General features: G+C 35.5%; 1 protein-coding gene across 6 annotated transcripts in view, besides 1 other annotated feature; it reads right to left on the reverse strand.

Moving 5' to 3' along the window:
• FHIT (fragile histidine triad diadenosine triphosphatase) overlaps positions 1 to 12837 on the reverse strand; it is a 1504176-nt gene that overhangs the window by 905657 nt on the left and 585682 nt on the right. The gene's annotated exons all lie outside the window — the stretch shown is intronic.
• Positions 7023 to 7524: an enhancer, noted in NCBI's record as "NANOG hESC enhancer chr3:60645689-60646190 (GRCh37/hg19 assembly coordinates)". NCBI's record gives its function as "activates a minimal SCP1, AML or CMV promoter by ChIP-STARR-seq in naive H9 embryonic stem cells {active_cell/tissue: H9 hESC(naive)}" and the evidence as "EXISTENCE:reporter gene assay evidence [ECO:0000049][PMID:30033119]".

Consider the following 12837-nt stretch of genomic DNA (forward strand, 5'->3'; position numbering starts at 1 on the left):
AAAACAAAACAAAACAAAACAAAACCTTACTCTAGCACATTGCGATTCCCCAGTTCCCATGCACACACCCTAAACTGAAACTCTTCAAGCTTGCTATTCACAAGACCCACCCACTTAAAAATAGACCGCAACAATAGCCTTCTTATTGCCTCATTCTTTCACACACACCACAGATCACCAGAAATTTAATATGACAAGAAAGTCTACCACAGAAAAGAAAATGAGCAAGTAAAACAACAGAAAACATGACACTGGAGAAAACAGTTTAGGGGAAAGACACAAACTTTAAAAATAAAATCTAGTTAATATCGTCAAGAAAGATTTGAGGAGATTTGGTAACTACAAAACAAAAACAGGGTTCTATTGAAAAGGAATAATCAGATAAGAAAGAGCTCTTTGGAATTTTATAAATGCGTAAGTAAAAAATTCAATAGAAAGTTTGTAGGCAACGTTGGAAAAAATCTCCTAGACTATAGACCAAGTACAGAAGTAAGTGAGAAAAAAATAAAATATATAGATGAACAATTCAGGAGGTCTAAGGATGACTAACCAAATTTTCACAATAAGAAAAAAAGAAACTGGAGTGGAGGGAATTATCAAAGAGATTGCATGGTAAAATTCCCCAGAGTTAAAGAGAAAGATGAATGTTCAAAGTATAGGAATCTACTTGATACCAAGAATAATTAACTGTAAAGTGGTAGAAAAATGAAATTCCTAACAATTTCCTGAAAAGTAAAAAAAAAAAGAAGGTGGCCTACAAAATAAGAATCAGAGTAGCATCAGACTTAGCAGCAGCAGGATTGCATACTAAAAGACAGGAAAAAGGATTTTCAACAGAGAAGTCTACACCCAAACTATCAATTGTCTTTTGAGGGCAAAATAAAAAATTCTAAACCTGCAAGCATGCAGAAAGTTTACCTCCCATTCACCCTGATATGGCTTGGATATTTGTTCCTGCCCAAATCTCTTCAAAATGTAATCCCCGGTGCTGGAGGTGGGGCCTGGTGGGAGGTGTTTGGATCATGGGGACAGATCCCTCATAAATGGCTTGGGCTATTTCCTTGGTGACAAGTGAGCTATTGCTCTGAGTTCACATGAGATCTGGTGGTTTAAAATTGTGTAGCACCTCGCTTCCCCACTCTCTCTCCCTCTTGCTCCTGTCTTCGTCACATTATGTGCCTACTTCCCCTTCCGCCATAATTGTAAGCTTCCTGAGGCCTCCCTAGAAGCCGAGCCAGCACCGTGCTTCCTGTAAAGCCTGCAGAACCATGAGCCAATTAAACCTCTTTTCTTTATAAATTATCCAGTCTCAGGTATTTATAGCAATGCAAAAATGGCCTAATACACACCCTTTCTTAGGAAGTTAATAGCAAAATCAGAAGGCAAATTAGAAAAGAAAGAAAACCCATTCAATCCAGCAAACAGTGACTCCAACCCTGGAGAGCAATGGGGACATCTCAGGATGATTCTACACAGCATGTCTACAGAGCCACCTGTCCAAATGGGAGCAAAATGGAGGTCTGTAAGAGACAGGACCAATAGAACAAAGAGTGTAATTATGAGCTTGAAAAAACTTGAAGATATTATTGAGGTATATACTCAGAAAAGGCAATAGGACATCAGAAATTCCAGCAAAAACAAACAAAAATAACTTTATAAGAAAAACTTGAAATATATATTACAGAAACTAAAAGGTGGAATGATTTTGATAAAATGATTTAAAGGAAGAGAATCCATTTGCACCTGATTCTAGACACAATGTCTTTGAGTATCACAGGAATTGTGACAGAGACCATGTGGGGCTGCACTAAATAATTTAGCAAATCTTAATTGTGCAAATATTTTCATTATTTCCAACTTTGGAAAAATCACAAAAAAAGACTACTCTGGTGACAGAGCAAATGTCAATTAAATTTGACAATGCAAAAATAATGGTATATAGCTGACCGAGAATGGAAAGTGGAAGGAAAAGAAAAGCAGTGAAGAAAAGGGTATTGAGTGCCCATATCTCATCCTGTGATGTGTGGAGGCAAGAGACACAGGCTAGATTGATGGACCAATCAGGGGAGGTATAAATACAATTTAGAAGTGGCAAGCCCAATAGAAGTTGAGAATAATGTCATGTTATGGTGGGAGCATGTGAAAAGTTTAGTGTAAGTTAGTGTAAGGCAAATACTTCTTGTCTTTAGAAGAAAATCAGTAGATAACATAAAAAATAAATAAGTGTTAACTAGCAATATGGAAGTAAGACCAGGAATGTTGAAAAGTGATTGCATTTAGGGAGCTCAGCTGGAGGTGGGAAGGGTGGGACTGGGAACTGTTACTTTGCACTACAGGTGTTTCAAAACCATTTGATTTTTAACTACGTGCTTATTTTTGCTTTCATAAAAAACAATTCCAAATTATGATTATAAAAAGCAAGTACATTGTTACAAGCTCTTTTACTAAAAACAACAACGCATAATTGAGCCTGTATGAAATGCTGTCTTCTAAGCCACTGGACACGCTGGAGGAATAGCGAATAAAGTATAACTGGATTTATTTATAACGAGGAGAGAGCAAATGCAGTGTACGGAAATGAGACACATCATTTTATCTCGACAGAACAATTAAGCTTTCATTAGGGCTTAATGACAGGATGACATTCGGGGGTTTGGAGGGTAAGCACATCACCTTCATTATCAAATCAAAGATTATCCAGTATCAAGAGGAACAGTTTTATTTATTCTGTATTCTCCTCGAACTCCCCACCCCAAGCTCTGTCATGACCCTAGATAAGATGGGAATTGAACAAAAGTCCCCAAGTGCTAATTGCATATTCTCTCACATCCCCAAGATTGCTGTCTCCTAGCCATTTGATGTTAATATCACAGAAAGCAGACAGCAAGTGTATATTTGGATGCACAGCTAGGTACATTTCCCAGAATGTATTTTGGAAGGGGTTAGTTGTTGGAAGGTTGGCAAGACACTAGTGACTCCACGTTTTGGCTACTACGCCTTTCTGTCCTGAAAGCCTGGTGTCCATGTTATTTAGAACAGCCTGGGTAAACTTATTACTGCACCCTGTGTTCACAGAAAAGGTTGGTTCTGAGTTCAATTACAATCCCTAGCAGTTTAAACGATAGCTGCTGTGCTATAATCTAAAATAAATTGCTTTTCTCAAGAAGCCATGTAAGCCTTTGCACTGCATCTTAGCAGAGCTGCTGGTTTTATCTCATCTGAAACTCAAGAAGGGTACAAAAGCAGGACCTCTGAACTCCTGTTGTTACCTCAAATGTCATTCTTCTACACTTCTGGGGCTCTCTCTTCACCCCAAATTCCTATCCCAGAACTAGATTTATGGGAAAGCAACAGTGTTTTCATTTTTTAATGCAAATCATCATTTTGTGTTTATTGTTTTCTATATAAGCTGCATACTTTGCCTGGGGTCTTTTGAAAGAACTCTATTACTGGGGGCAAGATTTGTTTTTCCTCTTCCCACAGCTAGAAGGCTAACCTGCTACCATGGGCCAAGATAGCAAGTATGAGGACGCCCGCACCCAAATGAATTGGGGCACCTCTACAGACTCTCCATTCAAACGCACATCCTCCTCCTCTCTCCAAAGGGAATGGAGGAAAAGGAAACAAACTTGTCAAGCGCTCAATACGTGAAATGATAATTCTGGCTTTCTCCACCCTCCACCTCCCCAGGAGTTTTTCCCAAAGGTCCCATTGGCCCAAGCTCAAGCCTCAGCACTTCTCTAAACAAGATGCTTGTAGATCCCTTTGATGTCTTTCCACAAAGGCAATTAGAAGGGTTTCCAACGTTAACTATGTACATTCTTTCAGATTTAACAAGGCAACTTAATTAACACTGCTGTGTTTCTGCTAGTCAACAAGAGAAAATTGTCCTTTCAAGAGATTTTGCACATTGACAAAAATAATCCAGTAATACTTTTCCCTTTCAAATATTTTTCTTCTATTGAGATTGAAAGAGGTGGTTTGCAGAGTGCTATATGGTATGTGCTCAGCAGCATTTTTCTGAAAGGGAATTTTTTTATGTCCACACAAAAAAAAACATCCAGGACAAATAAAAGCCAAATGAATACTTTAGACAAATTCAAACTCAAACTTAGAGCCACTCAGAAGGCAAGGAAGTCCTATTTCTTTTTATAACATACATGCAACCATGCCACGGGAGGATATGAAATGTAGCTCATGAATTATGTTTATCCTTAAGTTCTCTTGGAGCTATAATAATTAGAAAGAGACAAAGTGCTGATTCTCAACCAGTATCCCTAGGAGGCACTAGGAAATGGAGGAGGTGAGGACATTTCTTTGATGTCTCAGCAATTGGAGGGCAAAACTGACATTTGGAGAGTTCTCAAAATGTTGCTAAAAGTTCTGTAGTGTGTTAGCACCACAGAGCGAAGACTTTTCCTGCCCAGAATGCCAATAGATCCCCCTTGGGAAACACTGACCTCAAATGGGAGGTTGTCAATGCTGCACTAAGGCAAAATGAGCTCCTTGTCCTGGGTCCTTTGATTTCTCATTTTGCAAACTTAGGTGTCTGGCAGATAGTCAATGACTAAAGGAATCATCTAGTGGTGAAATGATGGTAAGTCACTTATCCATTCAATAAATATGTATTATGTACCATCTGTGTACAGTGAAAGTACTGCTATTGACCAAGAGTCTCTCCTTGACCAAACGTTAATCAGGCTCCTCTGATTCTCTCCCTAATCAGGCCTTAACTTTTGGACTTCTGTGTCTTTCTCTGTATTGCCCAATTTTAGCAAGAATCCTCTTAGACTGGTTTATCCAGAACCCTTCATCTTCAATATTGGATTACCCTCAATATCTGATCAGATTCCATATCCACCACCATCCCTTAGGTGGTTTAATCACATGGCCTGCCTTTAGGTACATTTCATAACAATGTATCCAATTTTCCTGATCCAATTTTTCTGCATCCTTGCCAGCATTTGGCGTTATTATTATTTTTTTCCAATTTTTTTGTGGTAAAACATACATAACATAAAATTTAGCATCTTAACAATTTTAAGTGTATATTTCAGTAGTATTAAGTACATTCATATTGTTACAACCATCACCACCTATCTATCTCCAGAACTCTTCATCTTGCAAAACTGAAACTCTATACCATTTAACAACTCTCAATTCCTACTTCTCCTCAGCCCCTAGCCACCATTCTACTTTCTGTCTCTACGATTTTGAATACTCAAAGCACCACAAATAGATGAAATCATACAGTATTTGTCTTTGCGTGACTGTCTTATTTCACTTAGCATAATGTCCTCAAGTTTCAATCATGTTGTAGCATATGTCAGAATTTACTTCCTTTTTAAGGCCAACTGATAAGGAGGGACTTCCTTCTGTCCCATTTTGCTATTGATTTTCTACACACCTTACAGTTTTTTTCTGTCCCTCATTTCCTGCATCACTGTCTTCTTGTGTGGTTAGTTTATTTTTTGTAGTGAAACATTTAAATTCCTTTCTCATTTCCCCTTGTGTATATCTATTTTCTTTGTAGTTACCACAGGGATTATATTTAATATCCTAAAGTTATCGATTCTAATTTGGAATTATACCAGCTTAACTTTAATAACATACAAAAACATTGCTCCTCTACTTCTCTGTCCCCACTTCTTTAAATTATTGATGACAAAAAATTAACATCTTCATGCAATATGCTCTAAAATATAAACTGATATTTTAAAAGATGTATTAGCTTCTCAAATTATGTAGAAAACAAAATGTGGAGTTACAAACCAAAGTTACAATAATACTAGCTTTTAGACTAATAATTTAAAAAAATTAGTCTCATATCATGTAGAAAAAAAATGGAGTTAACAAAGCATTATTACAATAATACTAGCTTTTATAATTGCCCACATTTTTACCTTTACGGAGAACTTTATTTCTTAACTAAGATTCAAGTTACTATTAGTGTCCTTTCATTTCAACCTGTAGAACTCATTTTAGCATTTCTTACAGAGCATGTGTAGTGGTAATAAACTTCCTCAGCTTTTTTTTTTTTTTTAATATGAGAATGCCTTAATTTCTTACTCACTTTTGAAGGACAATTTGCTGAATGTAGGATTCTTGGTTGGCAGTTTTTTTTGTTTTGTTTTGTTCTTTCTGTAGCCCTTTGACTATGTCAGCCCATTGCATTCTGGACTCCTACATTTCTGACAATAATTCTGATAATCGTATTGATGATTCCTTCTACATAATGAGTTGCTTCTCTCATGTTGTTTTCAAGATTCTCTCTTTGTCTTTCAACAGTTTGAGTATACTGTGTCTTGTGTCTTGGGGTGGATCTCTTTGAGTTCATCCTATTTGGAATTCATTGAGCTTCTTGGATTTTTATGTTTATGTCTTGCATCAGATTTGGGAAGCTTTTGGCCATTATGTCTCCAAATAATCTCTCTATTCTTTCTCTCTCTTCTTAAGCTTCTGAACTCTCACAATGGGTATGTTGGTCTGCTTCATGGTGTCCAGCAGCTCTGTTCCTTCTTCTTCAATATTTTTTCTTTCTGTTCCTAAGACTCATAATTTCCTTGTCCTATCTTCAAGTTTACTGACTCTTTCTTCTACCTGTTCAAATATGCCTTTGAATATCTCCAGTGAATTTTTCATTTCAGTTATTATACTTTTCAACTGAAAAATTTCTCGTTCTATTTTTACTTTTTCTGAATCTCTGTATTGATGTTGCTAGTTAGTTCATACATCATTTATTTTTTACTTTTTCCATATCTTTTAGTTTTTTGAGCATCTTTAAGATACTTGTTTTAGACTCTTTGTCTAGTAGATCCACAATTATAACTTTTTCAGGGACAGACCTCGTTGGTTCATTTTCTTTCCTTTGAATGTGCCATACTTGCCTGTTTCTTTTTATGTGCTGTGATTTTGTTGTTGTTGTTGAAAACCGGACATTGAAATAAAATAATGTGATAACTGTGAAAATCAGATTCTCCTTCCCCTTCCCCAGGGTTTGCTTTTTCATTCTGAATTGTTGTAGGTTGTCTCTGTGCTGAGGATAAGCCTGAGATGTAAAGTTAAGTCCTTCTCACATCTTTTGTGAGCCTGCATCTTTCTCTAGGTATGAGCGGTGACTTTCTAATTTCCCATGTATATGTGGCTGCTTTAAAATGTACTAGTCTTTAATGTCTGGCTCCAAACACAAAAGGGGAAAAGAAAAAAAATGAAAACAAAAGGAAAAGAGTGCTAGCCCTTTAAATCCCCTGGAAGTCACTTCAGCTGGAGAAAGAAGGGCTTGCAACAATGGAAGGAAATGCAACAACAATGGCCCCTGGCTCTGTCTGCACCTTTGTAATCAGAAGCAACAATTAGCTATCAGAGAACAGATTCCTGATTTTTGAATGACAGTGGCCTTTTTGCACACCCTGGCTCCCATAAACTGTGTGCAGGCTACTCCTGGAATCTGTGCAAGGATGCCTGCGAGTGGGGTATGAGTAGCTGATATTATTCTAAGAGCTAAAGTCAACCACAGTTAAGGGCAATTTACTGCCCAAGCCTTCTCTTGGAAATTAAAAGCCTTCAATAGACTCTAGAGTTCTAAAATAGTTACATCAGACAGATTATGCCATGCAGTTGTTCTCTAGGTGAGGAGATACATTCCTGGTGCTTTCTACTTTTTGATCTTCCCAGAATCCCCTCCTTATCAATTTTTTTTATTTAGCCATTTTAATAGATGGGTAATGATATCTCATTATGGTTTATATTTGCATTTCTCTGATGGCTAATGATGTGGAATATCTTTTATTGTGCTCTTTTTTTTTTTTTTTTTTTTTGCCATCTGCCATTCTCTTCAGTGAAATGTCTCTTCATGTTTTTTGCCCATTTTCTAATTGGACTGTTTGGGTTTTTTTACTCTTGACTTTTCAGAGTTCTTTATATATTGTAAATACTAGTTCTTTGTGTAATATGTGGTTTGCAGATATTTCCAACCAGCCTGTAAATTGACTTTTCATTCCTTGTAGTTGGGCTTTCACAAAGCAAAAGTTTTAATGTTGATGAAGTTGAATCTAGCAATTCTCCTTTTGTGGATTATGCCTTTGGTGTTAAATCTAAGGACACTTTGGTTTGTTTTTTTATTTTTATTTTTTATTTCTATAGGTTTTGGAAAAATAGGTGGTGTTTGGTTACATGAATAGGTTCTTTAGCCATGGTTTCTGAGATTTTGGTGCACCCAATACCCAAACAGTATACACTGTACCCAATTTGTCGTCTCTCATCCTTCACCTCCCTCCTCCCTCACTTGAATCTCCAAAGTCCATTGTATCATTCTTATGCCTTTGCATCCTCATAGCTTAGCTCCCACTTATGAGTGAGAACATAGAATATTTGCTTTTCCATTCCTGAGTTACTCTACTTAGAATAATGATCTCCAATTCCACCCATGTAACTGTGAATATCATTATTTCATTTCTTTTTTACGGCTGAATAGTATTCCATGGTATATATGTTCCACAATTTCTTTATCCACTCATTAACTGTTGGGCATTTGGGATGGTTCCATAGTTTTGCAATTGGAAATTGTGCTGCTATAAACATGTGTGTGCAAGTATCTTTTTTGTATAATAGCTTATTTTCCTCTGGGTAGATACCCAATAGTGGGATTGTTGGATCAAATGGTAGTTTTACTTTTAGTGCTTTAAGGAATCTCCACGCTGTTTTCCATAGTGGCTGCACTAATTTACATTCCCACCAGCAGTGTAAAAGTGTTCCTTTTCACCACATCCCCACCAACATCTATTATTTTTTGATTTTTTGATTATGGCCATTCTTGCAGCTGTAAGGTAGTATTACATTGTGGTTTTGACTCGCATGTTCCTAATAATTAGTGATGTCAAGCAGTTTTTCATATGTTTGTTGGTTATTTGTATATCTTCTTCTGACAATTGTCTATTCATGTCTTTAGCCCAGTTTTTGATGGGATTGTTTGTTTTTTTTCTTGCTAATTTGTTTGAGTTCCTTATAGATTCTGGATATTGGTCCTCTGTCAGATGTATAAATGGTGAAGATTTTCTCCCACTCTGTGGGTTGTCTGTTTACTGACTGTTTCTTTTGCTGTGCAGAAGCTTTTTAGTTTAATTAAGTCCCATCTATTTATCTTTGTTTTTGCTTTTCGTTTCGTAGTCATGAAGTCTTTGCCTAAGCCAATATCTAGAAGAGTTTTCCAATGTTATCTTCTAGAAATTGTATGGTTTCAGGTCTTAGATTTAAGTCTTTGAACCATCTTGAGTTGATTTTTGTGCAAAGTGAGAGATGAGGATCCAGTTTCATTCTTCTACATGTGGCTTGCCAGTTATCCCAGCACCATTTGTGGAATAGGGTGTCTGTTCCCCACTTTGTGTTTTTGTTTGCTTTGTTGACGATTGGTTGGCTGTAAGTATTTGGCTTTATTTCTGGGTTCTCTATTCTGCTCCATTCGTCTCCGTGCCTATGTTTATACCAGTACCATGCTGTTTTGGTGACTATGGTCTTATAGTATAGTTTGAAGTTGGGTAATGAGATGCCTCCAGATTTGTTCTTTTTGCTTAGTCTTGCTTTGGCTTTGTGGGCTCTTTTTTGGTTCCATATGAATTTTTGGATTGTTTTTTTCTAGTTCTATGAAGAATGATGGTGGTATTTTGATGAAAATTGACTTGAATTTGAAAGAAAAAGATTTCTTTAGGCAATATAGGCATTTTCACAATATTGATTCTATCCATCCCTGAACATGGGATATGTTTCCATTTGTTTGCGTCATCTATGATTTCCTTAAGTAGTGTTTTGTAGTTTTCCTTGTAGTGGTCTTTCACCTCCTTGGTTAGGTATATTTCTAACTATTTTATATAAGAACATTTTGCCTTGCCTTACATACAGAGATTTTCTCCCACATTTATTTTTTAAAATTGTTATTATTTTACATTTAATTCTATGATCCACTTTGAGTTAATTTTTGTATGAAGGTATGAGATTTAGATCAATGTTCATTTTTTTTCCCAATGGATGTCTAATGCTCTAGCATCATTTGTTGAAAGGCTGGACTTCCTTCATTAAGTTGCTTTTGCATCTTTGTCAAAAATCATTTGAGCCTATTTATGGAAGTCTATTTCTGGGTCCTCTATTCTGTTCCATTTTGTATATTCTTCTGCCAAAACCATGTTGGTTTGATTACTATAGCTATATAGCCCTAATATTGGGTGGAGATATATATCTCTTTAATGTTGGGTTGGTTGATTCTTCCCACTTTATTTTATGTCAACATTGTTTTAGCTATTGTAGGTCCTGTGCATTTCCATATAAATGGAGATCAAATAAGTTTGCTAGAATTTTGTTAGAAATTTAATTTCTCAAAGATCAATTTGGGCAGAACTGACATCTTTACCATGCTGAGCCTTCCAAGTCTCTACTCATTTAAGTCTTTAATTTCTTTCATCAGCATTTTGTAATTTCATTATATAAACTCTGTACCTGTTTTTATTTACTTATTTATTTATTTATTTCTGAGACGGAATTTCACTCTTGTTGCCCAGGCTGGAGTGCAGTGGTGCAATCTCGGCTCACTGCAACCTCCATCTCCTAGGTTCAAGTGATTCTCCAGCCTCAGGCTCCTGAGTAGCTGGGATTACAGGCACCCACCACCATGCCCGGCTAATTTTTTGTATTTTTACAAGAGAGGGGGTTTCATCATGTTGGCCAGGCTGGTCTCAAACTCTTGACCTCAGCCTCTCAAAGTGCAGGGATTACAGGCATGAGCCACTGCACCCGGCCTCTGTACCTGTTTTATTAAGTGTATACCTGAATCTTTTATTTTCTTTGGAACTATTGTAATTGATACACTGTTTTTGATATTGGTTCCTACACATTCTTTGTTAGCATGTAAAAATACGATTAACTGTTGTATGCATCCTGCACCCTTGCTGAACTCACTTGTTCTAGGATTTTTGTTGTTGTAGATTTCTAGGGATTATATATGTAGACAATCATATCATCTACAAAGAGAGATTTATTTCATTTATTTCCAAACTGCATGCCTTCTATTTTCTTTTCTTGCCTTATTGTTTTGGCTAGACTTTCCAGTACTGGTTGAATAAAAGTCATGAGAGTGAACCTCCTGGCCTTGTTTCTAATCTCAGGGATGCTCTTTAGCAAGTCGAGATAATTCATCACTATTTCTAAATTGCTGAGAATTTTTATTATAAATAGATGTTGGATTTTGTCAGACGCCTTTTTATATGATGATATTATTTACTTTTTTTATTTTTAATTTCTTCCAGTGTTTCCTCAATGAATTTTCTTCTGTAGCTTATTTCTATGGTATATTACATTAATTAATTTTAAAATGTTGAACCAACCTTACATACCTGGCATATAATAAATCCTACTTCATCATATTACATAATTCTTTTTATTCTTTGCTATTATTTCATTAAGAATTTCTGAGTCAAAATTTACAAAAGACATTGAACTATAGTCTTCTTTCCTCCCTCCCCCTTCTTCCTCTTCCTCCTTCTTCTTCTTTGCCTGGTTTTGGTATCAGGGTAATAATGAGTTGAAAAGTGTTCCTGCCTCTTCTATTTTCTAGAAAAGATAATATAAAATTGGCATTATTTTTTTTTAACATTTGGTATAATTCTCCAGTGAAACAATGTAGTCCTAGAGATTTCTTTTTTGGGATATTTTTAATTATTAATTCAATTTTTTAAATAGCTATAGGACTAGGCTAGGGCTGTTCATTTCATGTTGGCTGAGTTTAGCTAGTTTTTTTTTTTTTTTTAGAAATTGGTCTATTTCTTCTATGTTCGTTGAATATATGAGTGTAAAGTTGTTCATAGTATTTTTATTGTGTTTTAGTGACCACAGGATCTGTATTTATATTTCCTATTTCCTTCCTGGTATTGGTAATTTTGTTATTGTCAATTTTGCTAGTAGTTTATCAATTGTATTAATTTTTTAGAAGAACCTGTTCTTTGTCTCATTGACTACCTTTTTCTTATTTTTAATTCCATTGATTTATTCTTTTATCCTTATTATTTCCTCTGTCTACTTGCTTTTACTTTATTTTTCTCGTTTCTCAAAATAGGAACTTAGGTTATTGATGTGAGGCCTTTAAAGACTTACTCTTTGACCTGTTGATAACTTAGAAGTGTGTTATAAATTTTCATGTTTTAGAGATTTTTCTGCTATTTTTTTGTTATGGATAACACATTCTGTAAAAATTTGCTAAGCATTTTTTATGGCCTATGATATGATCTATTTTGGTGAATGTTCTTCGGTTGCTTGAGATAAAAAGTATATTCTGCTGTTGTTGGATGGAGTATTCTATATATTTCAATTAGATTCTATTTGCTGATTGTGATGGCGCAATCTTCTATATTCTTGATGATTTTCTGTATAGTAGTTCTATTTGTTGTTGAGAGAGGACATTGAAGTCCTGAAATATAATTGATGATTTATTTGTTTCTCTTTCAGTTCTATCAGTTTTTGCTTTGTGTATTTTGAGGCTCTGTTATTTGGTATGTACATAAGATCATTTTGTCTTCCAGGTGGATCCATTCTTTTATCATTATATAATGTTCCTTCTTGTTTCCAGATATTTTCTTTGTTCCAAAGTCCACTTTTATCAGATACTAGTATAAGCACTCCTGTTTTTTTAAAAATTAATATTTGTATGATATATGTTTTTCCACCCTTTTACTTTCAACTTAACTAATCATAGAATTTGAAGTGAGTTTCTTGTAGGCAGCATACAGTTAGATTATGTTCTATTATTCACTTTGTTTATCTCTGTCTTTTGATGGTGTTTAGATGATTTACCTTCAA

Source organism: Homo sapiens, chromosome 3, assembly GCF_000001405.40.
Source record: "Homo sapiens chromosome 3, GRCh38.p14 Primary Assembly".
In the NCBI taxonomy this organism is placed as follows: Eukaryota; Metazoa; Chordata; class Mammalia; order Primates; family Hominidae; genus Homo; species Homo sapiens.